The sequence below is a fragment of the Homo sapiens genome, chromosome 12 (assembly GCF_000001405.40).
Source record: "Homo sapiens chromosome 12, GRCh38.p14 Primary Assembly".
In the NCBI taxonomy this organism is placed as follows: domain Eukaryota; kingdom Metazoa; phylum Chordata; class Mammalia; order Primates; family Hominidae; genus Homo; species Homo sapiens.
The window spans coordinates 112,402,547-112,428,859 of record NC_000012.12 but is presented as its reverse complement, the minus strand read 5'-3'; the positions used below and the strand labels follow the sequence as shown (position 1 = coordinate 112,428,859).

General features: G+C 45.4%; 2 protein-coding genes across 16 annotated transcripts in view, besides 9 other annotated features; one reads left to right on the top strand and one right to left on the bottom strand.

Annotated features, from left to right (window-relative positions):
• PTPN11 (protein tyrosine phosphatase non-receptor type 11) overlaps positions 1 to 9,913 on the bottom strand; it is a 90,972-nt gene extending 81,059 nt beyond the window's left edge. For all 5 annotated transcript variants that reach the window (NM_001330437.2, NM_002834.5, XM_011538613.3 and 2 more), the window contains exon 1: positions 9,735 to 9,913. In NM_001330437.2, the coding sequence (NP_001317366.1) occupies positions 9,735 to 9,748 (14 nt within the window). In that variant the 5' untranslated portion in view covers positions 9,749 to 9,913. The remainder of the gene's footprint in view (positions 1 to 9,734) is intronic.
• Positions 9,406 to 9,975: a silencer, noted in NCBI's record as "silent region_4886". NCBI's record gives its function as "represses an Ori minimal core promoter by ATAC-STARR-seq in GM12878 lymphoblastoid cells {active_cell/tissue: GM12878}" and the evidence as "EXISTENCE:reporter gene assay evidence [ECO:0000049][PMID:35858748]".
• Positions 9,406 to 10,059: a biological region, named in NCBI's record as "H3K27ac hESC enhancer GRCh37_chr12:112856605-112857252".
• Positions 9,412 to 10,059: an enhancer, noted in NCBI's record as "H3K27ac hESC enhancer chr12:112856605-112857252 (GRCh37/hg19 assembly coordinates)". NCBI's record gives its function as "activates a minimal SCP1, AML or CMV promoter by ChIP-STARR-seq in naive H9 embryonic stem cells {active_cell/tissue: H9 hESC(naive)}" and the evidence as "EXISTENCE:reporter gene assay evidence [ECO:0000049][PMID:30033119]".
• Positions 9,687 to 10,038: a silencer, noted in NCBI's record as "fragment chr12:112856626-112856977 (GRCh37/hg19 assembly coordinates)". NCBI's record gives its function as "represses an EF-1alpha promoter that drives an FKBP-Casp9 reporter gene in an ReSE screen in HepG2 liver carcinoma cells {active_cell/tissue: HepG2}" and the evidence as "EXISTENCE:reporter gene assay evidence [ECO:0000049][PMID:32094911]".
• RPL6 (ribosomal protein L6) lies at positions 10,025 to 23,679 on the top strand. Of its 11 annotated transcripts, XM_047429302.1 has the most exons (10): positions 10,025 to 10,132; positions 13,732 to 13,833; positions 17,418 to 17,559; positions 18,455 to 18,540; positions 20,204 to 20,440; positions 20,522 to 20,620; positions 21,970 to 22,113; positions 22,518 to 22,566; positions 22,823 to 23,007; positions 23,484 to 23,679. In XM_047429302.1, the coding sequence occupies exons 5-10, from the start codon at positions 20,204 to 20,206 to the stop codon at positions 23,634 to 23,636; spliced, it is 867 nt and encodes a 288-aa protein (XP_047285258.1). In that variant the 5' UTR covers positions 10,025 to 10,132; positions 13,732 to 13,833; positions 17,418 to 17,559; positions 18,455 to 18,540; the 3' UTR covers positions 23,637 to 23,679. The 11 variants fall into 11 exon arrangements, with proteins under 11 accessions (XP_047285258.1, XP_047285259.1, NP_001307070.1 ...); XM_047429303.1 differs by lacking the exon at positions 13,732 to 13,833 and having other exon boundaries at positions 18,459 to 18,540; NM_001320141.2 differs by lacking the exon at positions 13,732 to 13,833 and having other exon boundaries at positions 23,484 to 23,671.
• Positions 10,026 to 10,285: an enhancer, noted in NCBI's record as "active region_7050". NCBI's record gives its function as "activates an Ori minimal core promoter by ATAC-STARR-seq in GM12878 lymphoblastoid cells {active_cell/tissue: GM12878}" and the evidence as "EXISTENCE:reporter gene assay evidence [ECO:0000049][PMID:35858748]".
• Positions 10,026 to 10,707: a biological region, named in NCBI's record as "H3K27ac-H3K4me1 hESC enhancer GRCh37_chr12:112855957-112856604".
• Positions 10,060 to 10,707: an enhancer, noted in NCBI's record as "H3K27ac-H3K4me1 hESC enhancer chr12:112855957-112856604 (GRCh37/hg19 assembly coordinates)". NCBI's record gives its function as "activates a minimal SCP1, AML or CMV promoter by ChIP-STARR-seq in naive H9 embryonic stem cells {active_cell/tissue: H9 hESC(naive)}" and the evidence as "EXISTENCE:reporter gene assay evidence [ECO:0000049][PMID:30033119]".
• Positions 10,708 to 11,356: an enhancer, noted in NCBI's record as "H3K27ac-H3K4me1 hESC enhancer chr12:112855308-112855956 (GRCh37/hg19 assembly coordinates)". NCBI's record gives its function as "activates a minimal SCP1, AML or CMV promoter by ChIP-STARR-seq in primed H9 embryonic stem cells {active_cell/tissue: H9 hESC(primed)}" and the evidence as "EXISTENCE:reporter gene assay evidence [ECO:0000049][PMID:30033119]".
• Positions 19,445 to 19,624: an enhancer, noted in NCBI's record as "active region_7049". NCBI's record gives its function as "activates an Ori minimal core promoter by ATAC-STARR-seq in GM12878 lymphoblastoid cells {active_cell/tissue: GM12878}" and the evidence as "EXISTENCE:reporter gene assay evidence [ECO:0000049][PMID:35858748]".
• Positions 23,680 to 26,313: the final 2,634 nt, after the last annotated feature.

Sequence of the window (26,313 nt, the reverse complement as noted above, 5' to 3'; positions counted from 1 at the left end):
AGGAGAATAGCTTGAACCCGGGAGGTGGAGGTTGCAGTGAGCTGAGATCACGCCATTACACTCCAGCCTGGGCAACAAGAGCTAAACTCCGTCTCAAAAATAAATAAATAAATAAGTAATATATAGTTAGAAATTGAAATAGCTATTCCATGACCATCTACTTGAGCTTTCGTAGATTTTAAACTTTCCTTCCATAGCTTTTTTTTTTCCAAAAGTATTCATAATTACCAAAAATGCTTCCCAGTTACAGGTTTAATACGTGTATTCAATCACTGACAATTCTGTAATTTGCAACTTGCTTATCACTAGCAAGGAGCAGTTAGAGTTCATTCGACCCTGAGAACTTAGTAAGAGAAGATAAAGAACAGTGGAATTAATAAAAATCTTAATGTATAGGGCCAGCCTCAAAGGTTATAAGCGCTTGTATATTAGTAAGTGAGGCAAAAAAAAAAAAAAAAAAAAAGACAACACACAGCTTGAACTCCCCATCTCACACCTAGCATAATTTGACACAATAGGGCTTAGTTTAAAAACTGAACCAACAAATGAAACCTGCAATGTAAGTACATCCATATAACCTGGAAGGAGGGGAAGTGGCAAAACGGTATGGCCTCATTTGAGTTTATCAACAAGTTTATTACAATTAATACAGAATGATTACAGTTAATTACAATTAACACAGAGGGTCCAGATAAGATGAGAAGAGACAAATAAATTTCCAGTCCTCAACATGTATATAGTAGGCACTTGATCAATGGCTGCTGAGTGAATGAATTTTGATAGGAGTAAAGGATAAAAAGACACTGATGGGCTAGGCACAGTGGCTTATGCCCATAATGCCAGCACTTTGGGAAACTGAGGCAAGAGAATCACTTGAAGCCAGAAGTGCAAGTCCAGCCTGGACAGCATAGCAAGACCCCGTCTGTATAAAAAATGAAAAACTTAACTGGGCATAGTTGTACGCACCTGTGGTCCCAGTTACTTGGGAGGCTGAGGCAAGAGGATCACTTGAGCCCAGGAGTTTGGGCTTCAATGAGCTATGATTGCATCACTGCAATCCAGTGTGGGTGACAGAGCAAGACCTTGTCTCAAAAAAAATAAATAAATAAAAATAAAAATAAAAAAACACTGAGGGGAGGGGGTAGAGAGTTACAAGGAGAGGGAAGTAAGCATCCTTCTCCTCATCTTGCTCATTCTAACACCTGCAAAACCTGCCAGCCCCTGACAATCCCTTCTAACCAGCCATCATCTGGCATTATCTATATCTATATCTATATAGATATAGATATATAGATATATAGATTTTTTTTTTTTGAGACAGAGTCTCGCTCTGTCGCCCAGGCTGGAGGGCAGTGGCACAGTCTCGGCTCACTGCAACCTCCACCTCCCGGGTTCACGCCATTCTCCTGCCTCAGCCTCCCGAGTAGCTGGGACTACAGGCACCCACCACCAGGCCTGGCTAATTGTTTGTATTTTTAGTAGAGACAGGGTTTCACCATGTTAGCTAGGATGGTCTCGATCTCCTGACCTCCTGATCCACCCGCCTCGGCCTCCCAAAGTGCTGGGATTACAGGTGTGAGCCACCACGCCCAGCCTATATCTATATTTTTTTTTGAGACAAGGTCTCACTCTGTCACCCAGGCTGGAGTTCAAAGACACGATCTCGGCTCACTGCAACCTCCACCTTCCAGGTTCAAGCAATTCTCCTGTCTCAACCTCCCAAGTAGCTGTGACTACAGGCATGCACCACCACACCTGGCTAATTTTTCTATTTTCTGTAGAGACAGGGTTTCACCCACGTTACCCAGGCTGGTCTCAAACTCCTCAGCTCAGGTGACCTGCCAGCCTCGGCCCCTCAAAGTACTGGTATTATAGGTGTGAGCCACCACGCCCGGCCATTATCTATATTTATTAAGGATCGCTGGCCAGGTGCAGTGGCTCACACCTGTAATCTCAGCACTCTAGGAGGCCAAGGAGGGAGGATAGGTTGAGCCCCAGAGTTCAAGACCAGCCTGAGCAACATAGTGAGACCTCGTATCTACAAAAATAAAATAAATAAAATAAAAAAGATCACACAGCCCAGGTAGGTACCACTCATCTCATAGAAAGACTTACACACACATACACACACACACAAACCAGCACTTGGGGAAAAGAGCCTCAAATCAATGTCTAAAATAAGCTCCAGGGCCTATTACACATGACCCCTGTGTTGAGTGGGTTTTAAAAAATGGGAGACATAATTTGTGTCTGTAAGAGTTTACATTTCTCAGCAACAAAAAGAGGAAAAAAAACAAAGTTTTGGCCGGCTGCGGTGGCTCACACCTGTAATCCCATCACTTTGGGAGGCTGAGGCAGGTAGATCACCTGAAGTCAGGAGTTCAAAACCAGCCTGGCCAACATGGTGAAACCCCATCTCTACTAAAAATACAAAAATTACCCAGGTGTGGTGGCGCATGCCTGTAATCCCAGCTACTCAGGAGGCTGAGGCAGGAGAATCGCGTGAATCAAGGGGGCAGAAGTTGCAGTGAGGCAAGATGGTGCCACTGCACTCCAGCCTGCGCTACAAGAGTGAAACTCTGTCTCAAAGAAAAAAAAAAGAGTTTACAAACCTGAACTATCTGTCAGGAAATCACACCCGAAATCTGAATGCAGATTCTGCAAAGGCTTTACTCTTTGAGGCTAGGGACTTATGTCAAGTGAGTTTTAAAAAAAGATGCTGATGAAACAAAAAGAAAATACAATGATGCTGAATATTTTGTTTTATCTATGCATCCCCCTCCTCCAGTGATGTGGGGAAACAGTCAAGCTGGCCAGTAATTTCAGGAACTTCATCTCAAGGCTGCTATACTGAGAAAGGAGGTTTAGGCTGGGGGCAGTGGCCCATGTGTGTAACCCCAGCACTTGGGGAGAATCGCTTGAGCCCAGGAGTTCCGACCTCATCTCTATAAAAAAATCAAAAAATTAGCTGAATGTGGTGGTGCACGCCTGCAGTTCCAGCTACTCAGGAGGCTGAGGAGGGTGTATCCCTTGAGCCCAGGAGGTTGAGGCTACAGTAAGCTATCATTGCAACATTGCCCTCCAGCCTGGGTGACAGAGTGAGACCTTGTCTCAAAAAAAGAGAGGGGTGGAATTTAAACTAGGGATCCAAAGTCTAATTTCAGGGTGGGAGGGGTTTGAGGGATGAGAAATTACTTAATGGGTACAATGTATGTTATTCAGGTGCTGGTTACACTAAAAGCCCAGACTTCAATGCTGGATAATACATTCATGTAATAAAACTGCACTTGTAACCTTTAAATGTATAAAGTCTAATTTCAGTTTCTTGTATACATATAAATTTATATCTTTCTTACCTGCTACTCCAGAAAAATTATTATATTTGTTCTTGGGGAATAAGTTTATAGTTTGTTACTTTCTACAGATTACAAGAATATTCCTCATTTCTAATCTAATTAAATTTTAATATCCTATAGTAAAAGAGTAAGTCATGCTGAAAAAAAAGGCATCAATAGGGACAAGCATTATAAGTAAAAGGCTACAAAAAAAGTTAAATTCTTGAAAAGTGTTCTAATGCATGCTACACTGTATTTCATTTAACTAGCCCCCCCCACTGATGAACATTTCAGTTGTCTCCAATATTTTGCCATCTCAACAATAATGCAATAAATATCCTACTAAATGTCAAAATTTTTTTAAAGTTGTTAGGTGGGCACAGTGGCTCACGTCTGTAATCTCCAGCACTTTGGAGGCCGAGGCGGGTGGATCACCTGAGCTCAGGAGTTTGAGACCAGCCTGGGCAACATTTTGAGACCAGCCTGGGCAACATGGCAAAACCCCATCTCTACATACACACACACACACACACACACACACACACACACACACACACACACACACACAATTAGCCTGACATGGTGGTGTGTGCCTGCAGTCCCAGCACACACACACACACACACACACACACATACACACACACACACACACACACAATTAGCCTGACATGGTGGCGTGTGCCTGCAGTCCCAGCCACTCGGGAGGCTGAGGTGGGAGAATGCTTGAGCCTGGGAGGCAGAGGTTGCAGTGAGCTGAGGTCGTGAGCCTGGGTGACAGAGTAAGACCCCATCTCAAAAAAAAAAGTTGTTAAAGCAGCTTTTTATCCTTTTTTTCCAAGCAGCTTTTTAATGGCAGTGCATAGATATGTCTTTATAAATCACTATTTTCTCATGGAGTTTCATTGGTCAGCATCTCTGCTTTGATGACAAGGCAATAAACAAAAACTACCTCCAAAAAAGACTTTCCACAAACTACTTTTACCCAAGTTCAAAGCCTCTCTCATCACTTGTCTCATCTCCCTGAATCTACTCCTGCCTCCTACAATCCTTCCTTCACAGCAGCCAGAGAAATATTTTTAAATAGATCAGCTCATGCCACTCCCCCGATCACATCCTTCTATGATTTTGCATTGCTCTAAAAATACAATCTACACTCCTCTCCATGGTCCACATGACACTAAAGACATTAAGAATCCCTATGTGGTCTGCTCCCACCTACCTCCCACCTTCCCAGCCTCACAGCTCCCACACTTGCTCTCTCCTAGCCTTCAATCACTCCGAGATCTTCTCCCACTTCAGCACTTTTGCATGTGCTGTTTCCTAAAACCTGGAATACTCAATGCCTAGCACGGTACCTGGCACAGAGTTATCCCACCATAAATAATTCTTCAATGAATGGATAGATGTTTCATTAGAGTAGGCCAGTGGGATGATAAAAACTTGAACCATTATCTTTAAAATAGACATTGTAAAGGCCAGGTACAGTGGTTCACATCTGTAATCCTAGTACTTTGGAAGGCCGAGGCAGGCAGACAGCTTGAGCCCAGGAATTTGAGACCAGCCTGGGCAACAGAGCAAGACCCTAACTCTACAAAAAAATAGAAAAATTGGACAAGTTTGATGCCACGTGCCTGTAGTCAGTCCCAGCTACTCAGGAGGCTGAGATGGGAGGATCACTTGAGCCCAGGAGGTCGAGGCTGCAGTGAGCCAAGATTATGCCACTGCAGTCTCCAGCCTGGGCAACAGGGTAAGACCCTGTCTCAAAAAAAAAAAAAAAAAAAAAAGACATTGTATGTGTGTATATACATGTATGTGTAGACAGATATACATATTACAGAAACACATACAATGTGTATTTGTGTTTATATGAGTATACAAATATACATATATACACATACATTCTAAACAGTATATTCTATACCAATACATTTCAAATTTCAGGCTTGTGTGGTAGCTCATGCCTATAATCCCAGCACTTTGGAAGGCCAAGGTGGGCAGATCACTTGAGGCCAGGAGTTCAAGACCGGCCTGGCCAACATGGTGAAACCCCATCCCTACTAAAAATATAAAAATTAGCCAGACATGGTGGCACGCACCTGTAATCCCAGCTACTCAGGAGACTGAGGCACAAGAATTGTTTGAACCCAAGAGGTGGAGGTTGCAGTGAGCCAATATTGTATCACTGCACTCCAGCCTGGGTGACTGAGTAAGACTCTATTTCAAAAAAAAAAAATTTCAAATTTCATTTTGGTACTAGCTTTATCAAATTCATTTGATGCTGGCATAAAAGTCTGTCTCCCTCTCTAAATTCAGTGCTCCTCGCGAACATGGATAGTATTTTTCCTATTTCAGTGTTGTCAAAGAGCGTCACATATACACATTTGCTCAAGGCACAAAGTCCTCCAAAATTCATAGTAATGAACTGGGCTGCATTTTAGGGCATCTGAATCCATTTCAGGGTCTCCAATCCTTGGTTGGGGTCCACAACTCCCAGAGACCTTGCCAACATCACTTTTTGCCTCTTTCTTCCTTAAAAACATTGGCGTTGGATGGCAAGTACTGTCTGTGTTTCCCAGAGGGAAGGGGAATAAGCTGAGTTTCTCTATTGTTCTGTGGCTGCCTAACAAAGTACACCACGGCCTGCTAGGACAATTACAAACATGAGTTGGCTCTGCTTTTCCAGCATCATGTGCCACTCATAACAGTCTCCACATTGACCATGGACACGAGGGGTAAGTCATCTTAGCAGTGGCCTCTGCACTTGAGCAACTCTAACCAAAAACTTGGCCTTACATCAGGACCTAACGTTAATAAAGACATCCCAGTTTCCACTGCAAAGACACAGAACTGTTATTTTTCAGCAAGGCAAGTTTATTTACTCCCGCAGGAGATAAACAAACGTGGCCACCAGGGAGAGCCCAGGACAAAATGTACTTGACCTGCAAGAGATAAACCAAAAGCCTCCAGTCTCAGAACAAGCTCAATTTTCTGCCCCTCTCAGCTCATCGTCGCGTATGGATTTCAGAGCAACAAAAACAGATGTAAAGGAGGTACCACATGCTGAAGGAAGAGTTGGAAAATACAGGCAGCTTTGTTGGTTTCACAAAGGCAGAAAAGGGCAGAGAAGCAACCTCAAAATCTAAATCCAGTACTATCACTGCTACATGATCAAGGGAGGAGTCACTTAATTGCTGAATGCCTTAGTTTTCCTACCTATGATGCTGAGAGATATCAGTACATTGAATATACTTACATTTTAATTACTGGATGCATATAAAAGCCGAACCCAAGAGGAGTTATTTTGATAATTAAGCAAAACAAAATTCAGACTACTAATTGTCATTCAGGTGTCAGCTCACACGATCACCTTCTCTAAACCACCTATCAAAACTAACTGCATTCTCCCATCCTCACATTTCTGTGGGATTTTTTCCCTCCTAGAATTTATTACTACCTGAAATTGCCCTATTTAGTCATGTGTTTGTCTGCTCTCTCTCAGCCATGAAAATAGCAATATTTTCCTATCTTACTGCTTTATCCTGCCTGGCTCATTAACTTCCTGTTGAATGAATTAATACTAGGTTAAAGTAATTTGAAGGCGGGACGCAATAGCTCATGCCTGTAATCCCAGCACTTTGGGAGGCCGAGGCAGGAAGATCGCTTGAGCCCGGGAGTTTGAGACCAGCCTGGCCAACATGGCAAAACCCTGTCTCTATAAAAAAATACAAAAATTAGCCGGGTGTGGTGGTGCACACCTGTAGCCCCAGTAACCGGAAAGCTGAGGAGGGGGGATGGATTGAGCCTAGGAAAACAAGGCTGCAGTGATTGCACCACTGCACTCCAGCCTGGGCAACAAAGTGAGACCCTATCTCAAAAAAACACAATAATAACAATAATAATAAAATTCTAGGGCTGGGCAGGGTGTCTCATGCCTATAATCCCAACACTTCAGGAGGCCAAGGTGAGAGGATCACTTGAACCCAGGAGTTTGAGACTGCCCTGGGCAACACAGTGAGACCCCATCTCTATTCAAACAATTTTAAAATTTTTAAAAATAAAATTCTAGGAAATGCAAACTAATACATAGTGACAGAAAGCAGAATAGTGGCTGCCTAAGAACAAAGGAAGGATTATAAAGAACATAAGGCAAAATTACCAGGGGTGATAGATGTGTTCATTATCTTGACTATGGTGGTGGTTTCCCAAGTGTATATGTATGTCAAAACTGATCAAATTGTACATTTAAATATATGCAATTAATTGCATGTCATTTATACCTCATTAAGGCTGGTTAACAAATAAAACAGGCTTATAATCCAAAAAATAATGAATCATTCAAAATTATGTGTATTATGTTCATAACCCGGCTTTTTGGGTGGTGCATAATACCAGGGCTGGAGGGGAGAAGGAATTACTCCATTTCAAACTGTCATCTTTACCACTTGCTACTTTGACTATGCCCACACTTCTATGCTTCTAAATGAACAAACTGGACAATGTAGGGTCTATTACTACCCAGACCTTTTCCCAACCCCCAGCCCCGTCTGATGTCTCCTAAAGCAGCAGATCCTTACTTGTCTGGAAGAGCAGACACCAGGAACAAAAGGCTCAATGACTATTTGACAGATTAAAGAATAGACAACTGTTTATTTAAAAGCTCCCTAAAGAATTAGAACATTTGAGGCTATACACTGTTCTGTTGAAATGCAGTTATATATTACCCAGATCTGTAAGCACTTGCCAACCGACCTGTCCAAGTCACTCACTTCCTACGAGTTCTCAGTTTTCTTTTTCTCCCCTTTTTAAATTCCAGATCCATGTATGAATAACATGCCAGGTGTGTTTGGAGGAGACATTCCTAATATTTTGAAAAATCTCATTCAGGCTGGGTACGGTGGCTCACGCCTGTAATTCCAGCACTTTGGGAGGCCAAGGCGGGCGGATCACGAGGTCAGGAGTTTGAGACCAGCCTGGCCAACATAGTGAAACCCTGTCTCTACTAAAAATACAAAAATTAGCCGGGCATAGTGGTGCGCCTGTAGTCCTAGTTACTTGGGAGGCTGAGGCAGGAGAATCGCTTGAACCTAGGAGGCGGAGATTGTGGTGAGCCGAGATTGCGCCACTGCACTCCAGCCTGGGCAACAGAGTGAGCCTCCGTCTCCAAAAAAAAAAAGAAAAAAAGAAAAGAAAATCTCATTCAAATAGCCTCAATAGCTTGAATCGTTTTTTAAATGTCTGAGACAGTGACCATAATTGAACAATCATGGAAAAGAATAGACAATGGGTCTTAAGTGTGAGTGGTATATAGAGTGACTATACAAAATAGCAGGATCACTATCTGAAAACAACAGGTCACACTACTGTTTGACAACAAAATTAAGGCTTACAAATGGTTAGCAATAGTTACAAAATAATAGAAGCAACATAGTGATTAAAAGTAGGGATTCTGTCTCCACCACCTACTAGCTGTGAGGTTAGGCAATTTACTTAACCTCTGAAACTCGGTTTACTCATCTTTACAATGGGGATAATAGTAGCCATCTGATAGGGCTGTGGTCAGAACTAAGCAAATGTTAGCTATTAGTAGTAGTATTACCCTGACCTTTCAAAGGATCTCATTAACTCACTAATCCTCCTAAGTTTCAAATCTTGTCATTTACTAGCATGTTGCTTCTGGGCCTCGGTTTCCTCATCCATAAAACGGGTACCAGTAAAGTGACCTGACTGTTAAGGTTGCAGTGAAGGATTAAATAACGAGATGCGGCTCCCTTCCTTTCCATCTCCCAAAGCGAAGATCGCAGAGGAAGGAAATACTTCTAGTGGCTGCAGATACAGTCAGTTTTTCCATTTCTGGCACGTGAGGGGTAGGAGGAAAAGAAGACACAAAGAGGCATATAAAAGGGTCAGGGGTCCTGCGTGAAGTCCCCAAATGCACGAAAGTGGCACAGTGAGCCAGAACGACTAGACCACTGGGGGCCCGGCCCCGCGCAACTCCCCTCTCGTGTCCCAAGGAGCCTCCCCAAGTGAGCAGGGTTATTTCGGAATCACCATGAGGCAATTCTCATGAGGCAATGGGTCAGGAATGCGGCGCTGAGCCTGGCCGCTGGCACCCGTGGTTCCCTCGGCGGCTCTACCTGCCCCGGGCCTGACGGGCATCCCCGGGGCTGCCGCAGCCGGAACTCGGGGAGGCAGGAAATGAATGGGGACCCGAGGGGTGGGGGCGCGGTGGGGCCGGCCCCCGGCCCCTGGAGGGCGAGGGGACGAGGAGGGAACCGGCCCCCAACCCCGACCCGGGGCGGGAGCCCGAAGCCCGGCCGGGGCGCCCCCTTCCGGACGGGGCTAACCGAACGCGGCGGTGGCCGGGCCGAGGCCCGCGCCGGGCCCCTCGGGGCTCCTCACCTCCGCGATGTCATGTTCCTCCCGCCCTCCGGCTCCGCGACGGACCCGCTCCTTGCTCAGGCTCCGCTGGGCTCGGTCACATCGGGCTGGCCCGAGGGAGGCCCGCTCGGGACCGGACGCGGGGCAGAGCCAGCCGGCCGCGCACAGACCCCCCTCCAGGCCTGGGGATCCCGGAGACTGTGCAGCTGCCCCCCGGCCCGGCTCGCTCCTCCTCCGCCCCCGCCCTTCGCCGCCGTCGCCCCCGTGATGTCACCGCTCGCGACGCCCGCCGCCACTTCCTGCTTCCCGTCAGCGGAGGACCGAGCGACGGCCGGGAATGGCAGCGCGGGGGCTCCGCGGAGGCGCCACGCACAGTGTCCAAAGCATCCTTGCTTCCTCCTGGAAACCGCGGCCGCCAGGTGTGAGCTGCGCGCTCCGCGTCTACGCCACCGACCCGTCCGGGCCCGCTGCCACATCGATTTCATTCATTTCGTTCCACAAATCGCCGCTCCACTCATTAGCTGTGGAACCTTGGGGAAATTACCTACTGTCTCCGAGCCTCGGTTTCCTCCATTCTTTTCTTTCTGTAAGATAAAGATAGTAGGCTGGGCGCGGTGGTTCACGCCCGTAATCCCAACACTTTGGGAGGCTGCGGCAAGAGGTTCGCTTAAGCCAAGGAGTTCGAGGCCAGCCTGGGCAAAAAAGCAAGACCTCATCTCTACAAAAAATGCAAAAAACTAACCGGGCGTGGAGGCTGCGGCGGGAAGATAACTTAAGCCCGAGAAGTCGGGGCTGCAGTGAGTCGTGATCACGCCACTGCACTACACCCTGAGCGACAGGGCAAGACACTGCCTAAAAAAATAATAATAGGCTGGGCGCGGTGGCTCACGCCTGTAATCCCAGCACTTTGGGAGGCCGAGGTGGGCGGATCACGAGGTCAAGAGATCGAGACCATCCTGGCCAACATGGTGAAACCCCGTCTCCACTAAAAATTCAAGAATTAGCCTGGCGTGGTGGGGGGCGCCTGTAGTCCCAGCTGCTTGGGAGTCTGAAGCAGGAGAATCGCTTGAACCCGGGAGGCAGAGGTTGCATTGAGCCGAGATCGCGCCACTGCACTCCAGCCTGGCAATAGAGCGAGACTCCGTCTCAAAATAATAATAATAATTACAATAAATACTACTTTGGGGTGGGAGCGGTGGCACACGCCTGAAATCCCAGCACTTCCCTTTGGGAGGCTGAGGCGGGCGAATCGCTTGAGTCCAGGAGTTGGGAACCAGCCCGGGCAAAATAGTGAAATCCCATCTCTACAAAAAATACAAAAATTAGCCGGGCGTGGTGGCGCGCGCCTGTAGTCCCAGCTACTCGGGAGGCTGAGGTGAGAGGATTGCTTGAGCCTGGAAGGTCGAGGCTGCTGAAAGCCGAGATCGCGCCACTGCACTCAGGCCAGGTATGGTGGCTCACGCCTTCATCCCAGAACTTTGGGAGGCTGAGGCAGGAGGATTGCTTGAGCCTAGGAGTTCAAGACCAGCCTGGGCAACATGGTGCGACCATGTCTCTTAAAAAAAAAAAAAAAAAAAAAAAAAAAAGCCGGGCCGGGTGGTACGGAAGTATTACTTTGGACACTCTGTGAAGCTCGAGCAAGAGAGCAAGGCCAGAAACAGAGAAGCCAGTCAAAATACGGAATACTATAGTATTCTGGTCTGGGAATAATGGTAGCTCAGACCAGATTGAGAAGAGTAGAGCTTTTACTTGATTGATGCGCATATGACTCATTGAAGGCTACAGATCTAGCTGAGCGTGGTGGCTCACGCCTGTAATCCCAGCACTTTGGGAGGCCAAGGAGAGCAGATCACTTGAGGTCAGGAGTTCAAGACCAGCCTGGCCAACATGGTGAGACCCCGTCTCAACTAAAAATACAAAGATTAGTCGGGCTTGGTGGCGCACACCTGTAGTCCCAGCTACTCCGGAGGCTGAGGTGGGAGAATTGCTTGAACCGGACAGGCAGAGGTTGCAGTGAGCCCAGACTGCACCACTGCGCTCCAGCCTGGGTGACAGGGTGAGACTCTTTCTCAAAAATAAATAAATAAAGGCTACAGATCTAGTGAATGGCAGAGCCATAAGTTTAACCCATATCTGTATAGCTCCAAAATCCTCATTTTTTTAATGCTTGCCCATTTCATTCATATACAAGTGAGTCTCATACTGTGTGCTAACTGCTTCAGCATCATGTGCTCCTTACAAAGATCACCTTTAATATATGCCAATTTAATTCACATAAGAGCCATTTAACAAGCAGTTGTCCCTCTCCCTAAATCCTGGCCAGCTAGATGACAAGCTACATTTTAACTGATCTCAGGCCTGCAGGCCTAAACTTCCTAATCCAATCTCCACATAGTAGCCAGAGTAATCTAAACTACAAAACTAGGCGGGTCACTCGGGGCGCGGTAGCTCATGCCTGTAATCCCAGCACTTTGGGAGGCCAAGGCAGGTGGATCACCTGAGGTCAGGAGTTTGAGGCCAGTCTGGCCAACATGGTGAACCCTCGTCTCTACTAAAAATACAATTAACTGTGGCCAAGTGCGGTGGCTTACACCTGTAATCCCAGCACTTTGGGAGGCCAAGGTGGGTGGATCACCTGAGGTCAGGAGTTTGAGACCAGCCTGGCCAACATGGTCAAACACAATCTCTACTAAAAATACAAAATTTAGGGCTGGGCGCGGTGGCTCACGCCTGTAATCCCAGCACTTTGGGAGGCTGAGGCGGGCGGATCACGAGGTCAGGAGATCGAGACCATCCTGGCTAACACAGTGAAACCCCATCTCTACTAAAAATACAAAAGATTAGCTGGGCGTGGTGGTGGGCACCTGTAGTCCCAGCTGCTCGGGAGGCTGAGGCAGGAGAATGGCGTGAACCCAGGAGGTGGAGCTTGCAGTGAGCCAAGATCACACCACTGCACTCCAGCCTGGGCAACAGAGCGAGACTCTGTCTCAAAAAAAAAAAAAAAAAAAAAAAATACAAAATTTAGCTGGGTGCAGTGGCAGGCACCTGTAGTCCCAGCTACTCAGGAGGCTGAGGCAAGAGAATTGCTTGAACCCAGGAAGTGGTGCTTGCAGTGAGCCAAGATTGCGCCACTGCACTCCCACCTGGGCGTCGGAGCGAGACTCCATCTCAAAAAAAAAAAAAAAAAAAACTGCAAAACTAGTCACTCCCTACATTGAATTCACCAATGGCTTCTCCTTGATTTTAGAATGAAGTCCAAAAAAAAAAAAAAAAGGTTTATCCCCCTGGATGTGGTGGCTCACCTCTGTAATCCCAGTGTTTTGGGACTCCTAGGTGGGAGGATTTCTTGAGCCCAAAGAGTTCAAGAACAGCCTGGGCAACAGAGTAAGACCCCTGTCCCTACAAAAAAAAAAAAGTTTTTTGTTTTGTTTGAGTTGGAGTCTCATTCTGTTACCCAGGCTGGAGTGCAGTGGCGCAATCCCGGCTCACTGCAAACTCCACCTCCCAGATTCAAGCAATTCTCCTGCCTGAGCCTCCCAAGTAGCTGGGATTACAGGCACGCACAACCATGCCCAGCTAATTTTTTTTGTATCTTTAGTAGAGACAGGGTTTCGCCATGTTGGCCAGGCTGGTCTCCAACTCCTGACCTCAAGTGATCCACCCACCTCAGCCTCCCAAAGTGCTGGGATTACAGGCGTGAGCCACCATGCCCGGCCCAAAAAAAAGTTTAAAAAAATTTTTTTAGACCCAAGGTCTTGCTATGTTGCCCAGGCTGGCCTTGAACTCCTGGCCTCAAGCAGTCCTCCCACTTTGACCTCCCAAGGCCTTGGATTTACAGGCGTGAGCCAATGCACCAGAGTTTTTTTAACTCTGGTCCCCAATCACTTCACCACCCCGTCTCCCCACTACTCGCTTCATTCTCTATGACCCAGCCATGCTGAATGACTTTCAGCTCCCCTCAATATGCCATATTCTTTCCCAGCGTAGAGCCTTTTAACAATCTGCTTTCTTTCCCCAGAGGGTTCTTCCTGACTGTCCTCCACATCAACTCTATGCCTCTGATCTCAGGCTAGGAGCCACTTCCTCTGGAATACAAGCCTCACCCGATTCTCTAGTGCAGGTCAGATGGTCACCAAGACACCTATCCTTAGAACCTAACATGCTACACTATAAATCTAAGAGCCGTATCATATAGGAAGCATCCAATTAAGTTTTGTGGGTTTTTTTTGTTTTGTTTTTTTTTTTAGACAGTCTCACTCTGTCTCCCAGGCTGGAGTGCAGTGGCGTGATCTCGACTCACTGCAAGCACCGCCTCCTGGGTTCACGCCATTCTCTTGCCTCAGCCTCCCAAGTAGCTGGGACTACAGGTACCTGCCACCACGCCCGGCTAATTTTTTGTATTTTTTTAGTAGAGACAGGGTTTCACCGCATTAGCCAGGATGGTCTTGATCTCCTGACCTCGTGATCCACCCGACTCGGCCTCCCAAAGTGCTGGAATTACAGGCGTGAGCCACGGCGCCTGGCTGCCAATTAAGTTCTTGATCTAGCTGCCTGGGTGTCTATAAGCAAGTCATTTGACTCCTCTGTGTCTGTTTCCTTCTCTGCAAAGTAGGAATCAAAATCCTACCATAGGATAGGTTTGTGAAATACTCAGAACAGTGTCTGGCAAAGTCAGCACTTGATAAAAGCTGGCTATCATTTGTCTCTTTTCCAAAGTAAACTATTAGCTCTTTGAGTGCAGGAACTACTACCTTCCTAGTGTTTCCTATATTCTGCACACTCTGCAGCTAGAATGAATAATCTTTTAAAAATACAAATCTAATCACGTCACTCCCCTCCCCTGTTGTATGAAGGAGGTTCAAACCCTCTAGCATTAAGTTGAACTCCTTCCCTTAGCACATCAGTCCGTTCTAGATATGGCCTGTGCCAACACCCTCACATAATCTAGCAGTTTCTAAAGGCTTCTAGCTGTTTCTTGCATCCCTGTCTTCCAAAATTTAGTTCCTACTGCCTGGAATACTCTTCAAACCCTTCTCCACCTGGAAAACAGTCATGCAAGGTTAAACTCCAACTTAAGCAGCTCCTCCAGAAAACATTCTTTCACTTTTTGAGAATAAAAGAGAGACTCCTTTCCTATGCTCCTGGGGCTGCCTCTTCATGCTTCTATCAGCACCTAACACATTTCAACATCATTGTGGGTTCTGTCATTGTTGTTCTGTGTCTTTCTTTAGATTATGATCTCCTTTTAAGACAAAGTCATTGTCTTCCTTTTTTTTTTTTTTTAATACAGACAGGGTTTTGCCATGTTACCCAGATTGGTCTAAAACCCCTGGGCTCAAACAATCATCCTGCCTCCGCCTCCCAAAGTGCTAGGATTACAGGCATGAGCTACCATGTCCGGCCGGTCTTCCCATCTTTATATGCCTGGAGTAGTGCCTGGCATATTCATTTATATGGCCGGGCATGGTAGCTAACAGGAGGATCTCTTGAGACAGGAGTTTGAGACCAGACTGGCAGCCTGGGCAACATAGCAAAAACAAAACAAAACAAAACAAAACAAAAAAACCTCAATCTGAATTATTTTATTATTATTATTTATTTACTTTTTAAGATGGAGTCTTCACTCTGTCGCCCAGGCTGGAGTGCAGTGGCACAATCTCGGCTCACTGCAAACTCTGCCTTCCGGGTTCACACCATTCTCCTGCCTCAGCCTCCCGAGTAGCTGGGACTACAGGCACCCGCCACCATGCCCGGCTAATTTTTTTGTATTTTTTAGTAGAGACGGGGTTTCGCCGTGTTAGCCAGGATGGTCTCGATCTCCTGACTTCGTGATCCACCTGCCTTGGCTTCCCAAAGTGCTGGGATTACAGGCGTGAGCCACCGCACCCGGCCAACTCCATCTTAATTTTAAAAAGATATATTCATTTAGAGATTAATTCAGATAATAGCCATTACTTTATTTGAATTTCTTTCTCAATTACAAAAGCAATACAAGTTCCTTGCAACAAACTAAATAACAAACAGTAATTTTCTCTGTTCCTTGATGCATACGTACTCCATATCCCAATCCCCAGCAGTGTTAATGGTTTGGTGTATGTCTTTCCACACTTTATACATATACAAACACACAAACTCATCCCATACACAGGCTCACACACATACATAACACATATAAAGATATTTTTCTATTTATTTATTTATTTATTTATTTATTTATTTATTTGAGACAGAGTCTCACTGTGTGGCCCAGGCTGGAGTGCAGTGGCACAATCTCGGCTCACTGCAACCTCTGCCTCCCGGGTTCAAGTGATTCTCGTGCCTCAGCCTCCCAAGTAGCTGGAATTACAGGCATGCACCACCATGCCTGGCTAATTTTTGTATTTTTAGCAGAGATGGGGTTTCACCATGTTGGCCAGGCTTTAAAAGATTTACTGCCTAACAAACAAACAAAAAATACAGCTGAGGCAACATTGTGAGACCCTGTCTCTACAAAAAATGTAAAAAAATTAGCCAGGTATGGTGGTGTGCACTGTACTCCCAGCTACTCAGGGGGCTGAGGTGGGAGGATTGCTTGAACCCAGGAGGTCAAGGCTGCAGTGAGCCATGATCTCACCTTGCATTCCAGCCTGGGCGACAGAGCGAGACTCTGTCTCCAAAAAAAAAAAAAAATTAGGCTGGGCGAGGTGGCTCACGCCTGTAATCCCAGCACTTTGGGAGGCCGAGGTGAGCAGATCACCTGAGGTCAGGAGTTCAAAACCAGCCTGGCCAACATGGTGAAATCCTGTCTCCAATAAAAACACAAAAAATTGGCCGGGCAAGGTGGCTCAGGCCTGTAATCCCAGCACTTTGGGAGGTCGAGGCGGGCAGATCACGAGGTCAGGAGATCGAGACCATCCTGGCTAACACAGTGAAACCCCACCTCTACTAAAAATACAAAAAATTAGTCAGGCATGGTGGCGGGCGCCTGTAGTCCCAGCTACTCGGGAGGCTGAGGCAGGAGAATGGCGTGAACCCGGGAGGCGAAGGTTGCAGTGAGCCGAGATCATGCCACCGCGCTCCAGCCTGGGCAAAAGAGCAAGACTCTGTTTCAAAAAAAAAAATTAGCCAGGTGTGGTAGCGGGCACCTGTAATCCCAGCTACTCAAGAGGCTGAGGCAGGAGAATGGCTTGAACCCAGGAGGCAGAGGTTGCAGTGAGCCAAGATCACGGCACTGCACTCCAGCCTGGGCGACAGAGCAAGACTCCATCTCAGAAAAAAAAAAAAAAGATTAAGTGTCTGCAAAAATGTCTGCTTTGTGATTAAAGTGCTGCACAAATTTCAGAGAATTTTATATATGGCAAAACTAAACTTAATAAAAACATTTACTTTATAACTAACATGGTATTTTGCCCAACTAATGAATTGTAAATTTTGCAATACCGCAACAAAACACAAGAGGGGGTTCATCTACGTTTTTATTTTAATGACAGGTCATTCAACACATATTTTGGGGCGTTCACTAGGTGAAATTATCTGAGATTGCCAGCAATTTTGAGGGGCCCACGTAAGCAACTGTGCATCTCATTCATTCATTGTGGTACATTTTCTGCAGTTGAAGTTTCTAAGAGGTGCTTTGCTGAGGAAGCTAAACAAATAAAGCTGCTGACATTCCCATTCTCAAAAAAAAGGGCAGTGTTCATCTGATCATTGTATTTGTATCCTCAGTGAATCAGAACCAGAAAAAGGCTAAATGATTCCCAGAGACACAGCCATGAAGCAGGTGGTTTCGATCTGAAAAAATCAAGGTGAAAAGCTCTAGCAACCAGAAAGAAACGAATGGAGGAAAATGGAAAACGCAAGCTAGAAGGTATTACAAATGTGTACATGTTGGCTTAAGGGCTTTGAAGCAGTAAAGAACTATCACATATACTGTGTTGTGTATTTTGTAAAAGATAATAAATATTCTTATTTTTAATTCTAACATGAGCAAAACTCTCATGCATCTTCATTAATCATCTCTTTAATCTTGCAGCCTAATGGTTAAGAGTGCAATCTTTGGAATCAGATCTATGCTGTGAGCAAGTTACTTAATGTCCTTGAGACTCAGTTTCCTCATAATAGTATCATTCACAGGTTGTTGGGAGAATTAAATGAAATAAAGCAAGGCACATTGTATGCAATATTGCCTATTATCTCCCATGCATAAACTTTAGCAGAATACTTGACAACAACTAGGATGTTGATGATCAGATGATTGTAGTGGTGATGGTGACAATAACAAGAGCTAACAGTTCGCCAGGTGCGGTGGCTCACGCCTGTAATCCTAGCACTTTGGGAGGCTGAGGCGGGTGGATTACTTGAGGTCAGGAGTTCAAAACCAGCTTGGCCATCATGGTGAAACTCTGTCTCTACTAAAAATACAAAAAATTAGCTGGGCATGGTGGTGTGCGCCTGTAATCCCTGCTACTTGGGAGGCTGAGGCAGGAGAATCACTTGAACCCAGGAGGCAGAGGTTGCCGTGAGCCAAGATCGTGCCACCACACTCCAGCCTGGGTGACAGAGCGAGACTCCATCTCAAAAAAAAAAAAAAAAAAAAAAAAAAAAAAAAAAAAAGAGCTAACACTTATGTAGCATTTACCATCCATCAAATAATCAAATATGCTTCTCAGTACTGTTGTATATATTATTTAATGTTCCCAACATCCTTATGAAGTAAGTTACTATTGTTATCCTCACTTTAATTTTTTTTTACTTTTTTTAAGACAGAGTCTCATTCTGTAGGCCAGGCCGGAGGACGGGAATGAGAAAGGCCATGTACAAGAGGAAGTAGTCAGCCGCTAAATCCAAGGTAAGGGAAGAGGGGACCACTGACCTAATCTCAAGTGACAAGATTAGAGTTCACTGCACTGCAGCCCAGACCTCCAAGACTCAAGTGATCCTCCCGCCTTAGCCTCCCGAATAGCTGGGACTACAGGCACTAACAACCACACTCGGCTAATTTTTTTTCTTTTTTTCTTTTTTTTGTTGTTGTTATTGTTTTGAGACTGAGTCTGGCTCTATTTCCCAGGCTGGAGTGCGGTGGCACGCAGTGGCACGATCTTTGGAGTGCTGGGATTACAGGCGTGAGCCACCGTGTCCGGCCCTTTTTTTTTTTTTTTTCTTTTTTGAGAATCTTGCTCTGTTGCCTAGAGCGCAGTGTCGCGATCTTGGCTCACTGCAATCTCCACCTCCAGATTCAAGTGATTCTCCTGCCTCCGCGCCTCGACTGGCTGTCATTACAGACACGCACCACCCACGCCCGGCTACCTTTTGTATTTTTAGTAGAGACGGGATTTCACCATGTTGGCCAGGCTGGTCTCGAACTGCCAACCTCAGAGGATCCTCCTGCCTCGGCCTCCCAAAGGGCTGGGATTACAGGCGTGAGCCACCGCACCCGGCCTAGGATTTACTACTTTTTTCTTAACGGGGAAATACTACATTCCCCATGATGCCCCAGATCCGGAAGGAAGTGAGACTCGCACTTCCCATGATTGCTTATAGACCGGAAGCCGGGACCTTAATTCTCTTTCCCATCTTGCAAGGTAAGAATCGCGGGCCTGTCTGCAAGACTTGAGTTCAGGACTCCCAATCCTTCGCCATCCGAACCTGGAGGGCATCCAGTCGACACCTACAGGGGTCGGACATGTCCAAGGCTAACTGAGAGGCCTTCCAGACGCTTCATTTTTGTTGTTTGGGTTTGCGGCAGGGCACAAAGAGGGTGAGGTAGAATGCCGTAGTGGCTCCCTCCGGTTCTTCGCCACTCTCTTGGGCTGGGGGAACGAGGCCCTTTCGGGGACCCGTAGCAGACTGGTGGGTGTTAGAGGAAGCGGGGAGACGGCGCGTGCACTGTGTTCCTGGTCCTGGGTTCCAGAGGATGACACTGAGCCTGTCGCAGCCACGTTGGGGTTCCGCACTGAAGCCAAAAGGTTTCGCGTCTCCCAGCGTCCCCGACCGGAAGTCGCCTCTTGGTCTTTGCGATCTTTTTCTCTGGCTCAATTTGGGCTGATTCCGTTTGTGTCCGCAATTCCTAAATCGAGTTTCTTGAAAAGAGACACTGGTCTTAAGGGTTAAGACGAAAGGTACTGAAAGTAAGGGATTTCAAGTTCTGGTCTTGGTGCTTCTAACCTGTGGACACATTCTGCATCTAAGTTTTCTAATTCGCAAAACAGTAATAAAAAATAATGGTTGTACGGACTTCTGACCGCTCAGTATTTGGCAAAAAACCTAATAGGTGTGAGGTAGTTTCAAATTCTCAAAAAAAAAGTTTATAGTGTATTGGGGAGACAAACCCCAAATGAGTCATAGTGAAGGTTGGAGTAGAATGGGTAGAGTTTGAGAGGAAGGCCTGTATCTTACCGGGGGAGGGATTGTAGTCTGGGGAGCCCAGCCCATTCATGTACAGGTTCATTATTGTCTTGTTAGAGAGATGACTGGTGAAATGCCTTTTTTTATCTACAAAAAAATATTTTTAGATGGCGGGTGAAAAAGTTGAGAAGCCAGATACTAAAGAGAAGAAACCCGAAGCCAAGAAGGTTGATGCTGGTGGCAAGGTGAAAAAGGGTAACCTCAAAGCTAAAAAGCCCAAGAAGGGGAAGCCCCATTGCAGCCGCAACCCTGTCCTTGTCAGAGGAATTGGCAGGTATTCCCGATCTGCCATGTATTCCAGAAAGGCCATGTACAAGAGGAAGTACTCAGCCGCTAAATCCAAGGTAAGGGAAGAGGACCACGGACCATTATGTCTTAACCTTAATTGGCATTCTCTTACTGTTGATGCATTTGTGTCCTTGTAGGTTGAAAAGAAAAAGAAGGAGAAGGTTCTCGCAACTGTTACAAAACCAGTTGGTGGTGACAAGAACGGCGGTACCCGGGTGGTTAAACTTCGCAAAATGGTAAGATGTGGGGACTGTAAATTGGATTTTCTGTTTATGCTTGAATACTGTGAAGATGTTTTTGAATACTTAGATACTGTAAGTTTCTGCATACCGGAGAATTTCTGATAGAAAATAAAGGGCTCTGGGTTTGTAACTTGGCTTCAACATTTACTGTTAATCTTAAGTAATTTAAATTACTCGTCTGTGCTTTGTTCCTTTGCATATAATATGGGAATGAGGCTGAGTGTGGTGGCTAATGCCTGTAATCCCAGCACTTTGGGAGGCTGAGGCGAGCAGATCACCTGAGGTCAGGAGTTCAAGACCAGCCTGGCCAACATGGTGAAACCACATCTCTAGTAAAAATATACAAATTAGCTGGTTGCGTGCCTGTAGTCCCAGCTGCTCTGGAGGCTGAGGCAGAAGAATCGCTTGAACCCGGGAGGCAGAGATTGCACTACTGCACTCCAGCCTGGGCGACAGAGGGAGGCTTCATCTCAAAAAAAGATAAGATGGGAATGAGGGTTTACCTCAAAGAGTTTTTATGGAGATTAAATGAAATAATACATAGCCTGTTCTATAGAACATTTCCCACTAGAGCAGTGTTTCTTGGCCCCCTTTACCACACACAAGACCCAATGTAATCTCAGGATTTGCTCTGTAATTTTCATTATGGGAACATTCCCAAATAAGTTAACACCATACAGTTTCACAGTTGAAGATTACTGCATGAGAGGGAAGATGACAGTTGTTTTGTGAACTCGTTTTCCCATTAGGTGATCATGTTTGTGGTGAAAGTGAGACTGCACTAATGATATGGTATAGTTGGAAATAGGTTATTGTGAGTTATTTGTAGTCATGTCTTTAATGGCCCTTGCATGGTGTCTAACTTCTGCAATAAATGATCTGCCAGTCCTAGTGTCTGGCTTTATGCAATTTGTTTTCCTTTGTGGATGAAGTGGGAGTAAGACTTGTTGCTGTGAGGATCAGATGAAGTGGCTAGGATATGGACACACTTTACTTGAATTGGAAAACAAGCCATGTATCCCTAATCTGCAAAATGTGGCATGTCACACGTGTAATCTCTGAGGTTTAGTTTTTGCTCAAGATTGCAAAGGTGACTTGCTTGATGCTTTCTTTGCTTGAGCACACATCTCATTCATTAAATGGTGTCTCCTTTTTTGCACACAGGATGCAGAAGCATAATTGACCTTTTCCAAGTCTACTTAGCAGAAATGAAAATGGAATCATATAAATACAGTATTATACTTTAAAATAAAAAGGCTGTAGCAAAAGTTTGGCTGACATAGCTTGCTTCTAGTAATCTGAATGGCTTATTTAAATAAGTTGGATCTATGGACTCTCCACAGCCTAGATATTATCCTACTGAAGATGTGCCTCGAAAGCTGTTGAGCCACGGCAAAAAACCCTTCAGTCAGCACGTGAGAAAACTGCGAGCCAGCATTACCCCCGGGACCATTCTGATCATCCTCACTGGACGCCACAGGGGCAAGGTGAGAGTACCTGTGCTTGGGGCGCTTCACTGCAGCTGCCTGGGGTGCCTGGTGGCAATGCGTTTGCACGCTAGGTGTACTTTTCCTTTATTTACCTATGTTTGGGGCAAGGGGAAATGATCTGCAAGATACAACTTAGTTGTTGCAAATAAGAAGTGTAATCCATGGTGATTTATTAGCCATTTCCTGCTGTTGATTATGTTACACATGTTCATTTACTCAAAAACGTGTTTATGTCTGGAGTACTACCTTAGTAGCTTGCTGTGGTTGCTTCCAGAACTGCCGAGCTGTATACATATACATGTAGAAATTTCCTTTACCCAAATTTAGATGCCTGTGATTTTATGAATTCAGAAGTCAGTTTTTAATTGCAGAAAACTAATTATTTTCTTTTTAACTTACAGAGGGTGGTTTTCCTGAAGCAGCTGGCTAGTGGCTTATTACTTGTGACTGGTAAGAAAATCCTTGGATTGTGATGTTCTGTGAAACTTCCATTTTTAAATGCTTGCAGTATACACGTTTGTTTGCTACTGCCTACATGGTAGACACTTATTGCCACAAGTGTCTGAGGCCCATTTCATTGCCTTGTGTGCAAGTGGGTTAGACAAGTGGTCTTCTTTGTGTAGCAACATAACAAGTAATGGTCACCTAAATTGCAGGATGATGATTCTTCCCCCTTTTCCTTGCTAAATTAATTTTTCCCCCTTAGGACCTCTGGTCCTCAATCGAGTTCCTCTACGAAGAACACACCAGAAATTTGTCATTGCCACTTCAACCAAAATCGATATCAGCAATGTAAAAATCCCAAAACATCTTACTGATGCTTACTTCAAGAAGAAGAAGCTGCGGAAGCCCAGACACCAGGAAGGTGAGATCTTCGACACAGAAAAAGAGGTAAGTTTCTACTTGTCATCTCCTGTGTTAGCACTGGCCCTTCTACCTGGGAGTGAAAAGAAACAGGTTGCACAAAAAGAAGAAAAATGAAAGGTTAAATAATGAGGAATGCTGGGAGATACTTAGTATTCCAGATTCTTCTAAATTGAGTAGTTCTTTTGGCAGTCTGGGAGCTCAACTTAGAATCCTAAAGTTTGGTGGAATTGTGTGGGAATTAACTGCTACCATCGTATTGGGAATGTGCCCTTACTTATCCTTGATGTGTCCTAAAGTATACAAAAGCTTAAGAGCTACTTTTATTACATTAAAAAATGGGTTGTGTTTCACAGCATTCCAAGGAAAGGATTGTCAAAATTGTCTTTAATGTTTTCTAAATATTCTTGGGGATTAGTACTTGTGAGACAGGACTCCTTAGTTGACCTACAAGTAATTTGGTATGTGCCTGTTTTAAAATGTTTGATTTTCTCTTTATTTAGAAATATGAGATTACGGAGCAGCGCAAGATTGATCAGAAAGCTGTGGACTCACAAATTTTACCAAAAATCAAAGCTATTCCTCAGCTCCAGGGCTACCTGCGATCTGTGTTTGCTCTGACGAATGGAATTTATCCTCACAAATTGGTGTTCTAAATGTCTTAAGAACCTAATTAAATAGCTGACTACATTTTGTGTCTCTTTTTTTAATTTTTGGTTTTTAAAAAAAATTCTTACCTACCTGAAGGTGTAGTTTGACCATGCCAGCTCACCTGGGGGTTTTCCTTAGTAGAGAATGGGATTGGAAGGGAGTGGTGTCTACAAGAGAGCTAGTTTGTTGGCTTTGCATTGCTGTTCTTGGCTTCAGATTGGTTCTTGGTGCCTGGCTAATAACTTTTTCACCCACCCTCTACCATTGTGAAGTGGTGGCATTTTCTCACTCGTCCCTGAAGAAGTCAGTGCTAAACTGTACATGGATGAGAGAAGAGAATAACTGCTGACTACTCAGACAACAAACTCCCATTTCTCCCCGCTGTGCTCAATTCTCAACTCCTCCCCAATAATTATGAGGCCGTGCTCTTGTTTCCCAGGCCAGTGCAGTGGCTGTTCATGGGCACGTTTATCACATATGGCCCCAGTTCCTATTGCCTGGGCTGGTTCAACTCCTGGGCTCTAGCTATCCTCCTGCCTAGACCTCAAGGTATTGGGATTATAGGCATAAGCCACCACACCCTGCCAGATTTGTGCATTTTAATTTTGGCAGATTCTTCCAAACACTCCCAAGTGTTAGACCACTTTATTTGTTCTGGAAATGTACAGAGTACCCATCTTCTTATAGGTAGGTTATCAAACTTGGATTTTTGCCAATGGAAAATGAAAAATGGGCTGTGTGTGCTGGCTTCCACCTGAAACCCCCACATTTTGGGAGGTGGGGCCAGGAGGCTCACTTGAGCCTAGGAGGTCCAGGCTGTGGTGACCTGTGATTTCACCACTGCACACCATCCTGGATGACAGACCCTGTGTCCAAAAAAGGTGAAAAAAGGCTGGGTGCCATGGCTCAACCTGTAATCCCAGCCCTTTGGGAGGCCGAAGTGGGCTGATCAGCTGAGGTCAGGATTTTGAAACCAGCCTGGCGAACATGGTGAAACCCCATCTCCACTAAAAATACAAAAAAAAATTAGCTGGACATGGTGGCAGGTATCTATAATCCCAGCTACTCGGGAGGCTGAGGCAGGAGAATTTGGACGGGAGGCAGAGGTTGCAGTAAGTGACATCACACCACTGCACTCCAGCCTGGGCGACAGAGCAAGACTGTCTCAAAAAAAAAAAGTTGCTAGAATATTTTAAAATGACATGTCATGTTTATATAAGTAACATTTTTATTAAAAAAAAAAACTTGAGCCAGGCACAGTGGCTCACACCTGTAATGTGTGCACTCCAGCCTGGGCAACAAGAGCAAAACTCTGTCTCAAAAAATAAATAAGCCCAGCCTGCGTGTACCTGTGGTTCCAGCTACTTGAGAGGCTGAGATGGGAGGATGGCTTGAGCCTGGGAGTTCGAGTCTTCAGTGAGCTGTGATTGCACCACTGCACTCCAGCCTGGGCAACAGAGCAAGACCCTGTCTCTAAAAAAATAATTTTTCCAAAACAAAAAATTATGAGGACAATGGTTTTACATTTCTGCAAATGTATTTCATGTCTGGCTTCGTAGGAGACAGATTCTTATATCTGCTTTATTCAATCTATTGCAGTATCACATTATGTATTACACCTCAGGAGAACTCCATTCTACACTCGAGTTAAAAGGACAATGTCTTAACAGTAGTATGACAAATTGTTTTAACTTCACAGGTCCCTTTTTAAGGATCTCAGGAACATCTAAAGATCCCTAGATCCGGCCGGGCGCGGTGGCTCACGCCTGTAATCCCAGCACTTTGGGAGGACGAGGCGGGCGGATCACGAGGTCAGGAGATCGAGACCATCCCGGCTAAAACGGTGAAACCCCGTCTCTACTAAAGATACAAAAAATTAGCCGGGCGTAGTGGCGGGCGCCTGTAGTCCCAGCTACTTGGGAGGCTGAGGCAGGAGAATGGCGTGAACCCGGGAGGCGGAGCTTGCAGTGAGCCGAGATCCCACCACTGCACTCCAGCCTGGGCGACAGAGCGAGACTCCGTCTCAAAAAAAAAAAAAAAAAAAAAAAAAAAGATCCCTAGATCCTACTTTGAGAATCATTGCACTAGCCTCTGCATTGTTTCAAAGATTTGGGATCAAACAGATTCTGCCCCTTTTGACCAATAGAATGTGGCATAAGTGATGTGGAGTCTTGCTCTGTCGCCCAGGCTGGAGTGCAGTGGTGCCATCTCGGCTCACTGCAACCTCTGCCTCCCAAGTTCAAGTGATTCTTCTGCCTCAGCCTCCTGCATAGCTGGGATTACAGGCGCCTGCCACTCTGCCCAACTAATTTTTTTTTTTTTGTATTTTTGTATTTTTAGTAGAGAGAGGGTTTCACCATGTTGGCCAGGCTGGTCTGGAACTCCTGACCTCAAGTGATCCTCCTGCCTCAGCCTCCCAAAGTGCTGGGATTACAGACGTGAGCCACCATGCCTGGCATGTGTCTTTATTTTCTTTTACTTACCCACATGAGCTAACTTTCTAAAAGCACATATACTGCTTTTATAACAAAAGATTATTGTTATCTTAAAAAGCAAATTGCAGAAAATTATGTAAAATATCACTTTTAAAAAAGTATACGTGGGAGTGTATATTCATGGCAACTTGAATCTATGCTCCCAGGGAGAATAAAGAAAAGAAAAAAATATATAAGCTTAGTTTTA